The following is a 15,950-nucleotide window of genomic DNA, read 5'->3' on the forward strand; positions in this document are numbered from 1 at the left end:
TCTCCAATCAGGTATGTCCTCTTCCCATTCCTGCACCCCTGCCCTTGCCATTCTGGTAAATAGAAATAGGTCACGTTCTACTGAGAGGCCTCTGGAGAGTGGCAAGGCCTGCCCTACTCCCTGCCTTCCCCACAGGCTTAACTGAAGGGACCCATGATAAACCCCCAAGGGCCAAGATTTCCTCACAATTTACTTTCCATAGTCTGCATTAAGAACAAAGTTAGAGTTTTGTTTTGCATTTTCCAAAGAAAAATGCTGTTGTAATATGTAATATTCTTTTACAAATTGTTCACTCATGCGGGGAATACTGCTACACGCCCTTCCTTTCTCTCCCTTTTTCCTCCTCCCTTCCCCTGCTTTCCTTGGGCACATTTCTTGTATCTTACTTTCCCCAGGTCAGAAGCAGGCTGTTGGAGGGCCCAGTTGGCAACTTCTCCACCTGAGAGGCCCCAGAGCCTGCCCAGGGTGGACAGCAGTTAATGTTTAATGAGTGAGTGAATGAATACATTTTAAAAGGTATGAAGGCCAGGCCTGGTGCCTCACGCCTGTAATCCTAGCACTTCAGGAGGCCCAGGTGGGCAGATCACTTGAGCCTAGGAGTTCGAGACCAGCCTGGGCAGCAATAGGGAGTCCCCTGACTCTACAGATAATTTTTTTTTTGAGACGGATTCTTGCACTGTTGCCTGGGCTGGAGTGCAATGGCATGATCTCAGCTCACTGCAAACTCTGCCTCCCGGGTTCAAGTGATTCTCCTGCCTCAGCCTCCTGAGTAGCTGGGATTACAGGTGCACACCACCACACCTGGCTAATTTTTTTTTTTTTTTTTTTAAGACAGAGTCTCACTCTGTCGCCCAGGCTGGAGTCCAGTGGCACGATCTCGGCTCACTGCAAGCGTTGCCTCCCGACATCCGGCTAATTTTTTTTGCATTTTTAGTAGACACAGGGATTTACTATGTTGGCCAGACTGGTCTCAAACTCCTGACCTCATGATCCACCTGCCTCGGCCTCCCAAAGTGCTGGGATTACAGGCGTGAGCCACCGCACCTGGCCCAGATAATAAAAATTAGCCGGATATAGTGGCACATACCTCTAGTCCTAGCTACTTGGGAGGCTGAGGCAGGAGGATTGCTTGAGCCTCGGAAGTTGAGGCTGCAGTGAGCCATGATTGTGCCACTATACTCCAGCCTGGGTGACAGAGCAAGACCATGTTTCAGAAAAAAAAGGAAAAAGATAAAAAATATAAAGGAAATTGGGGAACTATGCTGTCTCCCCGGGGACCTTTCTGCTGAGTCAAGGTGGCCTCTCTGGGCAGTAGGATGAAGCCCGACTCTCTGGTCAACTCATTGTTCACGAAGTCCTTTCCCACAGCAGCTGAGGGACAAAGTCACAGTCCCTGCCCAGTCCTCTGCACCAGCCACCCCTCTGGTTTAACCTGTCCCAGGTCTTCCCCCTTGACTACACCCTCTAAATCCTAGAGTGGGGAGAGAATGAAGATGTGAGGTGACAGATGAGGTCTCTTCCCCAGCCAGAGGGTGCAGAAAGCCCCAACATAACACATGTCCTGAAACCCAAAGAGAAGACAGAAATTGTCAGCAAAGGTTAGCTAGCTCCTGAGGTCATAAGCAACCTTATTTTTATTTTGTGTTCCCAAATGTGTTGTCTGGAACATGTATACATATTACGTATTAAAGCAAAAGCAAAATCAGAATAAATATTGTCTTCCAAGTTGTCTTTGTGTGTGTTTTGGTTTTGTGGTTTATTCCTCTTTCTTTTCAGTTGGATAGAAGCCAGGCTCCTTTCTCCCAGCACACGCACAGACTCAGCACACACAGAAACCCCAGGAATTAAATGACTCTCCAAAATGATAAGTAGGAAGAAGGGGGTGGGGTAGAGAGGGAGGAAGGGGGAGAGAGGAGGCCTTTTCCCCTGACCTGGGGAGGAGCCCTAGTCCAGGAGAGGTCAGGGTGTGCAAAGGCCTCTGGGTAGGAATAGGAACAGGGCCATTGGCCAAGTGCCCTCTGCTCTGTTACTCCCAGAGCCGGCTCCTACCCTCAGGCCTGGGAGCCCGCCGTCTGCTAGTAAGGGGCTTCAGGAGTTGGGGGAGTGCAGATGAGGAGTAGCTCTCTTTTTCTCACATTCCCTCTTAAACCTCAGTTTTTTTGTTTTTTTTTTTTAAAGAAATGATTCTAAAATTAGCCAGGTGTGGTGGCATGCGCCTGTAATCCCAAATGTGTTTCTACTTGGGAGGCTGAGGTGGGAGAATTGCTTGAGCCTGGGAGGTTCAGGCTGCAGTGAGCTGAGATCAGGCCACTGCACTCCAGCTGGGGAGACAGAGGGAGACCCTGTCTCAAAAAAAAAAAAAAGAAATAATTTTTGTCCTTTTTCTATAAGCATCTTTTAAAACTTTTTTCCAGGCAGGGAGCGGTGTCTCACGCCTATAATCTCAGCACTTTGGGAGGCCGAGGTGGGCGGATAACCTGAGGTTAGGAGTTCGAGACCAGCCTGACCAACATGGAGAAACCCCATCTCTACTAAAAATACAAAATTAGCTGGGCATGGTGGCGGGTGCCTGTAATCCCAGCTACTTGGGAGGCTGAGGCAGGAGAATCTCTTGAACCCGGGAGGTGAGCCGAGATTGCGCTATTGCACTCCAGCCTGGGCAACAAGAGCGAAACTGTCTAAAAAAGAAAAAAGGCAGCATTTTGGGAGGTGGAGGTGAGAGGACAGGAGTTTGAGACCAGCCTGGCCAATGTGATGAAACCCCATCTCTATTAAAAACACAAAAATTAGCCGGGTGTGGTGGTGCACACCTGTAATCCCAGCTACTCGGGAGGCTGAGGCAGGAGAATTGCTTGAACCTGGGAGGCGGAGGTTGCAGTGAGCTGAGATCATGCCACTGCACTCCAGCCTGGTGCCAGAGCAAGACCCTGTATCAAAAAAAAAAAAAAAAAAGAACTTTAAAATAAATAAATAAATAAATAAATAAATAAATAAATAAATAAATGATTTGCACAGCAACTTTGTGAACAGAGCCCCCTTCCCTTTCATTTTCTGCCTGACTACCCACAACAGAGTCCCGGGTGGGGGTGGGAGGGTCAGGGATGGGCTGTGGCGTCTGCATGCAGGCTTGCCTCCACTGGCCTGAATCTCAGCAGGAAGAAGCAGCTCTTCCCTCAGGCCAAGCAGGAAATGATTCTCCCACAAAACACCTGACCCTGAGACCTTCCCAGGGAGTTGCACAAATTCGTTTTATAACCAGCAAAGCAATTCTGAGGGTTTTAGAGTGGGAAGGGCTTGCTCCTAGTTCTCCTAAGACTGTCTACTGTTTAATTACGAAAGCCACTGTTGTGCTCAACAGCTGAGGAAACACAGGAAGGATCAAGAAGTGAACTTTCCCTGACTCCACCTCCCCATACTGCCTCAGAGACCCAGGAACAGGCTGTCCCCCAGAAAGGGATGCCTGGGAGGACTGAGCAGGCACTGACCGCTCATGCTAGGGAACCAGGCCAGTGAATGCAGCTTTGAATCTACGCTGGATCACCTCCATGTCCTCATCTGTAAAATCATGCCAGGCACGTCACATGCTTGGTACACATTCATTCATTGCATTTGGGCCACAACCCTATGAGGGAGGTGTTATTATCATCTTTGTTTTACCGAGAAACCTAAGGCACAGAGAGGGTAAGAATGTTACTGGGCCAGGTGCAGTGGTTCATGCCTGTAATCCCAGCACTTTGGGAGGCTGAGGCTGAGCCTGGAGTATCGCTTGAGCCCAGGAGTTCAAGACCAGCTTGGGCAACATAGTGAGACCCCCATTTCTACAAAAAGTAGAAAAATTAGCTGGGCTGTTGCACGAGACTGTGGTCCCAGCCACTTGGGAGGCTGAACAGGAGGATGAGGATCACTTGAGCCCAGGAGGTAGAGGCTGCAGGGAGCCATGATGGTGCCACTGCACTCCAGCCCCAGTGAGAGTGAGACCATGTCTCAAAAAAAAAAAAAAGTTACTAAGGCCATATATCTTGTGCATGTATACCTGAAATTTGAGACCAGGCAACCGGGTACCACTAGGCTGTACTGCTCCTATGAGGAGCACACACTTACCTGTACCTGTCTCAGAGAATCTCTTCGAATTAAAGGAGATAATGCACGTAAGGTGCTCTGAACAGAGTCTGGGACTTAGTACTCTCAGTAAACACAAGTCCAACATCATCATCATCATCAATAGTCTTACCTATTCAGAATTCTTTATTATTATTATTGTTATAGAAAGGGTCTCACTGTGTCACCCAGGCTGGAGTGCAGTGGCATGTTCATAGCTCACTGCAGCCTCAAACTCCTGGGCTCAAGCTATCCTCCCATCCCAGCCTCCCAAAGTGCTAGGATTACACCAAACCTGGCCCAGTCAGAATTCTGAAGCAGTCGCACTCCTGGTCCTGGCTGCACAAACATGGTGGAAACTTATATGCTTAAAAAAAAAATTGTACTGGGGCCGGGCACGGTGGCTCATGCCTATAATCCCAGCACTTTGGGAGGCCGAGGCAGGCAGATCACGAGGTCAAGAGTTCGAGACCAGCTTGGCCAACATGGCGAAACCCTGTGTCTACTAAAAATACAAAATTTAGCCTGGCATGGTGGTGGGCACCTGTAATCCCAGCTACTCAGGAGGCTGAGGCAGGAGAATCGCTTGAACCCGGGAGACAGAAGTTGCAGTGAGCCAAGATCACACCACTGTACTCTAGCCTGGGCGACAGAGTGAGACTCCGTCTCAAAAAAAACAAAACAAAACAAAAAAACCAAATTGCTTTTAGTGGTTATTGCCAAGCAGGGTTGTAGGGGAAACTCATTTTCATAGACCTCTATAATCATAACTATTTTATATAGTAATCATGTATTATTTTGTAATTAGAAAAATATGCATAGATAGGCCAGGTGCAGTGGCTCATGCCTATAATCCTAGCATTTAGGCCGAGGCAGGCAGATCACTTCAGGTCAGGAAGTCGAGACCAGCCTGGCCAAAATGGTGAAACCCCTTCTCTACTAAAAATACAAAAATTAGCAGGGTGTGATGGCATGCGCCTGTAATCCCAGCTACTCAGGAGGCTGAGGCAGGAGAATCACTTGAACCCAGGAGGCGGAGGTTGCAGCGAGATCGCACCATTGCACTCCAGCCTAGGAGACAGAGTGAGACTCCATCTAAAAAAGAAAAAAGAAAGAAAAAGAAAAAATAATAATATGCATAGATGAAGACATAATATATAAATGCCAAGTGCATGTACTGAGCACTCAGTTCACTTGTTTGTGTATGTTTCTTTCTTTTCTTTTCTTTTTTTTTTTTTTTTTGAGACAGTCTCTCTCTGTCACCCAGGCTGGAGTGCAGTGGCAAGATCTCAGCTTACTGCAACCTCCGCCTCCCAGGTTCAAACAGTTCTTCTGCCTCAGCCTCCCTCATAGCTGGAATCACAGGTGCCCGCCACCTTGCTCAGTTTTTTTTTGTATTTTTAATAGAGATGAGGTTTTACCATGTTGGCCAGGCTGGTCTCGAACTCCTGACCTCAGGTGATCTGCCCAGCTTGGCCTCCCAAGCTGCTGGGGTTACAGGCGTGAGCCACCGCACCCAGCCCCTCTGTTTGCTTTTTTTTCTTTTTTGTATTTTTAGTAGAGACAGGACTTTGCCATGTTGGCCAGGCTGGTCTCTAACTCCTGGCCTCAAGTGGTTCACCGGCCTCGGCCTCCCAAAGTTCTGGGATTATAGGTGTGAGCCACCATGCCTGGCTTGTTCATGTGTTTCTCTCTCTCTCTCTCTTTCTTTTTTTTCTTTTTGAGACAGAGTTTTGTTCTTGTTGCCCAGGCTAGAGTGCAGTGGCGGGATCTCGGCTCACTGCAACCTCCGCTTCCCGGGTTCAAGTGATTCTCTTGCCTCAGTGTCCTGAGTAGCTGGGATTATGGGTGCCCACCACCATGCCCGGACACTTTTTTTGTATTTTTAGAAGAGACGGGGTTTTGCCATGTTGGCCAGGCTGGTCTCAAACTCCCGACCTCAGGTGATCCACCCGCCTCAACCTCCCAAAGTGCTGTGATTACAGGCATAAGCCACCGCGGCCAGCCCATGTATGTTTCTATTCACCATTTATGGAGCATCTATTGGCTACCAGGCCTTGGCTACAGGAACTGCCATGTGGCGTCAGAACCCTGAAGAAGTTCCCAGTGTGATTCACTGGATGGGGTGGGAAGAATCTTCTATCTGCTATGGTAGGAACAGAGGGCTGTGTGCAGGTGACAGGCCAGGCCTGGAATGTGAACCTCTAATTCCCCATCAAGTGTGATAGAAGATGCTGAGTGCGGTGGCTCACGCCTGTAATCCCAGCACTTTAGGAAACCAAGGCAGGCGGATTGCTCGAGCTCAGGAGTTGAAGACTGGCCCAGGCAACATGGCAAAACCTCATCTCTACACAAAATACAAAAATTAGTCAGGCATGGTGACTCGTGCCCGTGGTCCCAGCTATTTGTGGGGCTGAGATGGGAGGATCGCTTGAACCCAGGAGGTCCAGGCTATGGTGAACTGTGGAAGCACCACAGCACTCCAGTCTGGACGACAAAGTGAGACCCTGTCTCAAAAAAAAAAAAAAAAAAAAAAGAGGTGTGATAGAAATACTGAAAGAAGCAGGCTCTCAGAACAAAGGTTAGGTTTTTGGTTTTTGTTTTATGTTTCTTTTTGAGACAGAATCTCACTCTATTGCTGAGGCTGGAGTGCAGTGACATGTTCATAGCTCACTGCATCCTCAAACTCCTGGCCTCAAGTGATTCTCCCACCCCAGCCTCCCAAAGTGCTGGGATTATACCACACGTGCCCCAGTCAGAATTCCAAAGCAATCACACTCCTGGCCTTGGCTACACAAATATGGTGGCACCTTATATGCTTAAAAAAATTGTACCAGGCCGGGCGCAGTGGCTCACGCCTGTAATCCCAACATTTTGGGAGGCCGAGGGGAGTTGATCACCTGAGGTCAGGAGTTCGAGACCAGTCTGGCCAAAGTGGCAAAACCCCGTCTCTACTAAATATACAAAAAATTAGCCAGGCATGGTGAGGGGCACCTGTAATCCCAGCTACTTGGGAGGCTGAGGCAGGAGAATTGCTTAAACCTGGGAGGCGGAGGTTGCAGTGAGCTGAGATCATGCCATTGCACTCCAGCCTGGGCAACAGATCAACACCTTGTCTCAAAAAAAAAAAAAAAAAAAAAAAAAAGAAGGCCAGGAGCAGTGGCTTACGCCTGTAATCTCAGCACTTTGGGAGGCCAAGGCAGGCACATCATGAGGTCAGGAATTCAAGACCAGCCTGGCCAACATGGTGAAATCCCATCTCTACTAAAAATACAAAAATTAGCCAGGTGTGGTGGCGGGCGCTCATAATCCCAACTAATTGAGAGGCTGAGGCAGGAGAATCGCTTGAACCTGGGAGACGGAGGCAGTGAGCCTAGATCGTGCCATTGCACTCCAGCCTGGGCGACAAGAGCAAGACTCCGTCTCAAAAACGAAAAAAAAAAAAAAAAAAGAAGAAGAGGAAGAGCAAGAAGAAGAAGAAGAAGGAGAAGAGGAAGAAGAGGAGAACACTGGGGGAAAAGGAGAGAAGTACAGAATAGGAAAACAAAACTAGACTCTGGTGATTTAGGCAATCTGCTGAGTTTTTCTCCTTGGTTCTTATGTTTTATTTTTTTCTTTCTTATTTCTATTTATTTATTTATTTATTTATTTATTTATTTTGAGATGGAGTCTCACTCTTCCAGACTGGAGTACAGTGGCATGATCTCTGCTCACTGCAACCTCTGCCTCCCGGGTTCAAGCGATTCTTGTGCCTCCGCCTTCCCTGTAGCACCTGCCACAGCTTGCCCCAGCTAATTTTTTTTTTTTTTTTTTTTTGAGAAAGAGCTTTATTCTGTCACCCAGGCTGGAGTGCAGTGGTGCGATCTTGGCTCACTGCAAACTCCACCTCCCAGGTCAAGCAATTCTCCTATATCTGGAGTAGCTGGGACTACAGGCGTGCACCACCACACCTGGCTAATTTTTGTATATGGATATAATTTTTGTATACTCTTTGTACTTATCATTCTGTTGTATTGGAAATAACTTGTTACCAGTTTGGTGCCTTTGATAATTTTTTTTTTTTTTTGAGAAGGAGTCTTGCTCTGTTGCCCAGGTTGGAGTGTCGCCCAGGCTGGCTCACTGCAAGCTCCACCTCCTGGGTTCACACCATTCTCCTGCCTCAGCCTCCTGAGTAGCTGGGATTACGGGCGCCCGCCACCACGCCCGGCTAATTTTTTTGTATTTTTAGTAGAGACGGGGTTTCACCGAGTTAGCAAGCATGGTCTTGATCTCCGGACGTGATCTGCCCGCCTCGGCCTCCCAAAGTGCTGGGATTACAGGCGTGAGCCACCACACCCGGCCCAGTTTGGTGCCTCTGAAAGAAGAAAGGGAAGTAATCTATGTAAATAAATATATACTTAAAATGGTGACTGGGGAAAACAAACAAAAGAAATATATACAAATGCCATGTCCTGCGTTTGCATGAGGTTTGTTTCACAGCAAAGTAGTTACGCTTGCAAACTCTAAACTCCTGGGATCAGACATTTGGGCTGAATTGTATTTGCTTATTATAATAGCATTTCTCACTATTTACCAACCTCCATTTTCATTTCCTTTTTTTTTTTCTTTTTAACAGCCCAGAGGTCTTTTTTTTTTTCTTTTTCTTTTTAACACCTATTATGCCATGAATTCATGGGGAATAGGTTCCAGCAGCTCAGGCTCCTTCCCACTGGTTCTCACAAAGTGCGTTTCTCTGGGTGGAACAGGCTGGCGCTTCAGTCGAACCCAGGTACCTTTCTCTTTGGCTTCTTTCTTTTTCTGATCATTTTCCTTCATGCACTTCAGGAAGCTATCCTGACTCTTAGAATGCTTAATATGCTCAATACGCACATCAATTCTCCGGCAAGAATCTTGCCCTTAACTTGTTTGTTTACAACAATGCCAACAGGACGCTGAGGAACATTGTAGACTCTTCCAGTTTAGACATGGTAACACTGTGGGGCATTCCTTTTTGAACAGTGCCCATTCCCTTGATGTCTACAATATCACCTTTCTTATAGGTTTGCATATATGGGGCCAAAGGAACAACTCCATGTTTTCTCAAAGGCCTAGAGAACATATATCGGATGCCTCTCCTCTTTCCCTTTGTGTTCATCATTTTGGCAAATTACTGGAAGACGGCAGTTCTGGCCAAAAGACTCTATTTTCATTTCTCACCAATCTCTATTTTCATCTGTATATTTTTCATCTGTACATATTTTTCTTCTCATTTCTACTAAGCCTGTTTCAACTTTGAGCATTTTCCATGAGCAAAATTATTCTACAGCGCTTTACATTCATAATCCCAGCATTTTGGGAGGCTGAGGCGGGCAGATTACCTGAGGTCAGGAGTTCGAGACAAGCCTGACCACTATGGTGAAACCCGTCTCTACTAAAAATACAAAAATGCGTGGTGGCGGGTGCCTGTAATCCCAGCTACTCAGGAGGCTGAGGCAGGAGAATTGCTTGAACCCAGGAGACAGAAGTTGCAGTGAGCGGAGATTGCGCCACTCAACTCCAGCCTGGGTGACAGAGCAAGACTCCTTCTTGGGGAAAAAAAAAGAAAAAGAAATTGGACTTTTAAACTGAACACTCTTCCTTTCCTTTGCTTTGCTTTGCTTTCCTTTCTTTCTTTCCTTTCCTTCCCTTCCTCCTTCTCTTCCCTCCTTCCTTCTATTTCTTCCTTCTATTTGTTCTTTCTTTCACAGATTTATTGAGCTATAACTCACATTCATATAATTCACATATCTGAAGTGTACAGTTCATTGTTTTTTGGTATACTTGGAGTTGTGCAACCATCACCACAATCAAGTTCAGCATAATTTTTTTTTTTTTTGGGATGGAGTTTCGCTCTTGTTGCCCAGGCTGGAGAGCAATGGCTCGATCTCGGCTCACCACAAGCTCTGCCTCCCGGGTTCAAGTGATTCTCCTGCCTCAGCCTCCTGAGTGGCTGGGATTACTACAGGCATGCGCCACCACACCCAGCTAATTTTGTATTTTTAGTAGAGATGGGGTTTCTCCGTGTTGGCCAGACTGGTCTCAAACTCCTACCCTCAGGTGATCCACCCGCCTTGGCCTCCCAAAGTGCTGGGATTACAGGCGTGAGCCACCATGCCTGGCCTTTTTTCCAGTCTTTTAGATATTATCATGAACACTACATTTAAAAACATTTGTGCACAAGTTTTTGTATGGACGTATGTCTTTAATTCTCTTCAGCATATTCTTAGGAGTGGAACTACTGGGTCACGTGGTAACTCTATGTTTAACATTTTGAGGAAATGCTCAACTGTTTTCCAAAGTTGCTGCATCTGTTTTTTTTGTTTGTTTGTTTGTTTGTTTTTTTGGACTGGGTCTCACTCTGTCACCCAGGCTGGAGTGCAGTGGTGCAATCATGGGTCACTGCAGTCTCCACCTCCCAGGCTCAAGGGATCCTCCCACTTAAGCCTCCTGAGTAGCTGGGACCACAGGCATGCACCACCACACCCAGCTAATTTTTGTGTTTTGTGTAGAGATGGGGTTTTGCCATGTCACCCAGGTTGGTCTTGAACTCCTGGACTAAAGCGATCTGCCTGCATCAGCCTCCCAAAGTGCTGGAATTATAGGCATGAGTCACTGCACCCAGGCTAGCTGCATAAGTTTCTTTATTTATTTTTGAAATGGAGTCTCACTCTGTCCCCCAGGCTGGAGTACAGTGGCACTCTGCAACCTCTTGGCTTGCTGCAACCTCTGCCTCCCAGGTTCAAGTGATTCTCCTGCCTCAGCCTCCCGAATAGCTGGGATTACAGGTGCCCACCACCACATCCAGCTAATTTTTGTATTTTTAGTAGATATGGGGTTTCACCATGTTGGCCAGGCTGGTCTTGAACTCCTGACCTCAGGTGATCTGCCTGCCTCGGCCTCCCAAAGTGCTGGGCTTACAGGCATGAGCCCCCGCTCCCAGCCAGCAGTTACTCAATTCTAATGATGTAGTGCGGAAGCAGCCATAGACAATATAGAATGAGTGAGGTGTGACTGTTTCAATAAAACCTTATATATAAAATTAGAGTGAGCAGATTTGGCCCATAGGCCATAGTTTACTGATCCTTCCAGTAGTCTGTTGTAATATGTCAAACTGGACACATCTTTAATAGCTGAAAGAGACTGAGAAGTTATGGAATCTGATCTACATGTCATTAAAGACTCTATTACCGTCTGCGGCCATACCACCCAGAACGCACCCAATCTCGTCTGACCTCAGAAGACTCTACTACCCGGGGTAAAGGGAAAAGATGGAAGAAATATGTAATTACCGTGTTTGTTTCACCAGCAATAACAGTGAAATGGGATAAGTGCTGTGATAACTCATTCTATGAGTGCCTTAACCTAGTTCAGGGTGGGGACAGAAATATGAGGGGAGAGGAGAGTGATGCGGAGGCTGAGGTCTGAAGGGTGAATGGGAGCTGGTGGTAGGAACAGGAGAGTGTTCAGGTGAAGAAAACCGGTGGCAAGAACAGGATTACTGTGTTGAAAGGAACTGAGAAAACGTCAGTGTTGCTGGAGCCCACAGTGTGTGAGGTGAGTTCAGAGCTGTAGAGGCCAGGCGATGAGTCTCTTGTAAACCAAGTTAAGGAATTTTTACTTTGATTTTTATTCTGAGGGCAACAGAAAGCTATGAAAGGGTCGGGCACAGTGGCTCATGCCTGTAATCCCAGCCCTTTGCAAGACCAAGGCGGGCGGATCACTTGAGGTCAGGAGTTTGAGACCAGCCTGGCCACATGGCAAAACCCCGTCTTTACTAAAAATACAAAAATTAGCTGAGCATGGTGGTGTGTGCCTGTAGTCCCAGTTACTCAGGAGGCTGAGACAAGGAGAATCACTTGAACCCAGGAGGCGGAGGTTGCCATGAGCCAAGATTGCACAACTGCACTCCAGCCAAGATTGCGCAACTGCATTCCAGCCTGGGCGGCAGAGTAAGACTCTGCCTCAAACAAAAGAGAAAAGAGAAAAGAAAGAAAGCTGTGAAAGGACTTGGGGTTTTAAGAGCTGTGTTTCAAAAGGATGACTCTGGCTAGGCAGACGCACTCACCTATAAAATGGAAATAATACCTACTTCCCAGTGTTGCTGTGGCAATGAAATAAATATGAGCACAATGGCTCATAGTAAATACACAGTAGAATTGTCATCAGAAGCAGTAGTAGGAAAAGTGACCCATAAATCAGATTTTGATTAGACACCTAAGAGAGTAAATCAGAAGTAACAACTGTGGCTGGGCACGGTGGCTCACACCTGTAATCCCAGCACCTTAGGAGGTCAAGGCAGGCAGGTCGCTTGAGGCCAGGAGTTCGAGACCAGACTTGAGCCCAGGAGTTTAAGACCAGCCTGGGCAACATGGCAAAACCCCATCTTTACAAAAAAAAAAAATTACAAAAATGAGCCGAGTGTGGTTGTCTATTCCTGTGGTCCCAGCTCCTCAGGAGGCTGAGGTGGGAGGAACGCTTGAACCTGGGAGGGAGAGGTTCCAGTGACCCAAGATTGTGCCATTGCATTTCAGCTGGGTGACAGTTTGGGACCCTGTCTCAAATAAATAAATAAATAAATATAAAAATGAGATACCTACACCTAAAAGAAGCAGAGGAGGCAATTCATTCACCAGTGAACTAGAGGTGTTTTTTTTTTTTTTTTTTTGAAACGGAGTTTGGCTCTCGTCGCTCGTCGTCCAGGTTGGAGTGTAATGGCACAATCTTGGCTCACTGCAACCTCGCCCTCCCGGGTTCAAGCGATTCTCCTGCCTCAGCCTCACAAGTTGCTGGGATTACAGGGCCTGCACCACCACGCCCGGCTAATTTGTGTGTATTTTTAGTAGAGACGAGGTTTCGCCATGCTGGTCAGGCTGGTCTCAAACTCCTGACGTCAGGTGATCCACCCCTCCTTGGCCTCCCAAAGTGCGGGGATAATAGGCATGAGCCACCACGCCCAGCTGAACTAGAGGTTTTAACAAATGTCCCGGTGACGGAAACTGAATGGGTAAAAGTTAATAATGAACCATATTGGAGAAAGCGACAAATTAGAAAATGGGGGGGTGGGAAGGACGTTGGAAAAGAGAGTCTCCTTTAATGGTAAAATTCTAGAGAAGTTTCTGACTGGGAAATGAGAATTGAGATAAAGAGTTGAAGTAATAAATGGGCTGTAAATCTAAGTGTTAATTGAATGCTCCACTCAAACAACCCTCCACCACACAGCACAGCAGACTAGAACGGGAGGGTTCTTTTCTAAAGAAATTGACCTTGTCAGGCAGTGGGGTGGGGGAGAGAAACTAAACACTCTCTGAAGATAATGAAGACAGTTGAAGCGGGAGCTACCGTCCCAAATAAATTCCTCCTTTAGAGGTACCCTTTCACCGTCATGGCCCCTCCCATTCCTCCAGAAATGAAGCCTTCAGTCAGAAATCAAGTACACGCGAAATCCTGGAGAGCCTTTGCATTCACTCTTTTTTTCTTTCTTTCTTTCTTTTTTTTTTTTTTTTTTTTTGAGACGGAGTCTCGCTCTTTCACCCAGGCCAGAGCGCAGTAGCGTGATCTCGGCTCACTGCAACCTCTGCCTCCCAGGATTACAGGAGTCAACCACCGCGCCCGGCCTGCCTGATGTACATTTTTAAGAAAGAGTGAATGCAGCCAGTCCCGGTGGCTCATGCCTGTAATCCCAGCACTTTGAGAGGCCGAAGCAGGCGGATCATCTGAGGTCGAGAGTTCGAGACTAGCCTGGCCAACATAGTGAAACCCTGTCTCTACTAAAAATACAAAAGTTGGCCGGACACGGTGGTTCACGCCTGTAATCCCAGCACTTTGGGAGGCCGAGGCGGGCGGATCACGAGGTCAGGAGATCGAGACCATCCTGGCTAACACAGTGAAACCCCGTCTCTACTAAAAAATACAAAAAATTAGCCGGGTGTGGTGGTGGGTGCCTGTAGTCTCAGCTACCCGGGAGGCTGAGGCAGGAGAATGGCGTGAACCCGGGAGGCAGAGCTTGCAGTGAGCCGAGATCGCGCCACTGCACTCCAGCCTGGGCGGCAGAGCGAGACTCCGCCCCAAAAAAAAATAATAAAAAAAAAAATACATCAGGCCGGGTGCTGTGGCTCATGCCTATAATCCCAGCACTTCGGCAGGCTGAGACAGACAGAATGCTTGACCTCAGGAGCTCAAGACCAGCCTGGGGCCACACACAGTGGCTCACACCTGTAATCCCAGCACTTTGGGAGGCCGAGGCAGGTGGATCACTTCAGTTCAGGAGTTCGAGACTAGCATGGCCAACATGGCAAAACCCCGTCTCTATTAAAAATACACAAATTAGCTGGGTGTGGTGGCACATGCCTGTAGTCCCCGCTACTTGAGAGGCTGAGGCAGAAGAATCGCTTGAACCCAGGAGGCGGAGGTTGTAGTGAGCCAAGATCGCACCACTGCACTCCAGCCTGGGTGACAGAGCGAGACTCCATCTCTAATAATAATAATAATAATAAAAGACCAGCCTGGGCAACATAGTGAGACTCTGTCTCTATAAAAAAACACAAAAATTAGCCAGGTGTGATGGCACACGCCTGTAGTCCCAGCTATTCAGGAAGCTGAGGTGGGAGGACTGCTTAAGTCTAGGAGGTGGAGGCTGTTCATACCACTGTACTCCAGCCTGGGTGACAAAATGAGACCCTGTCTCAAAACAAAACAAAACCCCAAACAAACACCAAACAAGACTTTACAGGCATTTGAGGAAAGCTTGCTATGTGAAAGAAGACCAATATAAACAAGTATAAAAAAGGATTTCAGAGGTAGCACAGATAATTTAAGAGATCCTAGTTAGTATTTTTAGGGAAATGTGAGGCTATTGCATCCATTAAACAACAACAGGGTGCTCTGAAAAATGAATAGAGAACAAGAAAGTCCTCTTGGAACTAAAAACCTGGTTGCTAAAATTAAAAAACAAATTGTAGTTGAAGGATTTGAAATAAAAGGTGGTAAAATTTCCCAGAATGCAGGAAGTTTGAGAACTGACCCCAAAATAAATAGAAAACTTGAAAAGGCCAACCATCAAGAAGAGATTTATCCAAGTCACAACATAAGAAGGAGGAGGAGGAAGAGGAGGAGGAGGAGGAGGAGGAGGAAGAAATAGAGATTGGAAAGTGACTAAATTGCTATTATTTTCTTTTCTTTCTTTTTTTTTTTTTTTTGTTAAGACAGAGTTTTGCTCTTTTTGCCCAGGCTGGAGTGCAATGGCGGGATCTTGGCTCACTGTAAACCTCCACCTCCCGGGTTCAAGCAATTCTCCTGCCTCAGCTCCCCAAGTAGCTGGGATTACAGGTGAGCGCAACCATGCCCGGCTAATTTTGTATTTTTAGTAGAGATAGGGTTTCACCATGTTGGCCAGGCTGGTCTCAACCTCCTGACCTCAAGTGATCCTCCTGCATCCGCCTCCCAAAGTGCTGGGATTACAGGCGTGAGCCATCACGCCCTGCCTATTATTTTCTTTTTTTTTGAGACGAAGTCTTTCTCTGTAACCCAGGCTTGCGTGCAGTGGTGCAATCTCGGCTCACTGCAACCTCTGCCTCCCAGGTTCAAGTGGCCCAGGTTCAAGCGATCCTCTTGCCTCAGCCTCTCAAGTAGTTGGGACTACAGGCGCCTGCCATGACACCTGGCTAATTTTTGTATTTTTAGTAGAGACGGGGTTTCACCATTTTGGCCAGGCTGGTCTCGAACTCCTGACCTCAAGTGTTCCACCCGCCTCAGCCTCCCAAAGTTCTGGGATTACAGGCGTGAGCCATTGCGCCCAATCTTGGTATTGTAGTTTTGAAAGACAGGGTCTCTCTATT

General features: G+C 47.2%; 1 protein-coding gene and 1 pseudogene across 1 annotated transcript, besides 2 other annotated features; one reads left to right on the forward strand and one right to left on the reverse strand.

Annotated features, from left to right (window-relative positions):
• Positions 1-816: 816 nt before the first annotated feature.
• Positions 817-8,604, forward strand: LOC124904579 (UPF0764 protein C16orf89-like; the record flags this gene model as incomplete). The annotated part of the gene is made up of 4 exons (XM_047439474.1): positions 817-893; positions 6,153-6,204; positions 8,233-8,316; positions 8,578-8,604. Coding segments are annotated over 4 exons (240 nt in total), but the record flags the coding sequence as incomplete, so codon positions are not given.
• On the reverse strand, positions 8,712-9,274 carry RPL21P22 (ribosomal protein L21 pseudogene 22; annotated as a pseudogene).
• Positions 11,325-12,266: an enhancer, noted in NCBI's record as "NANOG-H3K27ac-H3K4me1 hESC enhancer chr1:31583561-31584502 (GRCh37/hg19 assembly coordinates)". NCBI's record gives its function as "activates a minimal SCP1, AML or CMV promoter by ChIP-STARR-seq in primed H9 embryonic stem cells {active_cell/tissue: H9 hESC(primed)}" and the evidence as "EXISTENCE:reporter gene assay evidence [ECO:0000049][PMID:30033119]".
• Positions 13,209-14,149: an enhancer, noted in NCBI's record as "H3K27ac-H3K4me1 hESC enhancer chr1:31585445-31586385 (GRCh37/hg19 assembly coordinates)". NCBI's record gives its function as "activates a minimal SCP1, AML or CMV promoter by ChIP-STARR-seq in naive H9 embryonic stem cells {active_cell/tissue: H9 hESC(naive)}" and the evidence as "EXISTENCE:reporter gene assay evidence [ECO:0000049][PMID:30033119]".

Source organism: Homo sapiens, chromosome 1 (genome assembly GCF_000001405.40).
Source record: "Homo sapiens chromosome 1, GRCh38.p14 Primary Assembly".
Lineage (NCBI taxonomy): Eukaryota > Metazoa > Chordata > Mammalia > Primates > Hominidae > Homo > Homo sapiens.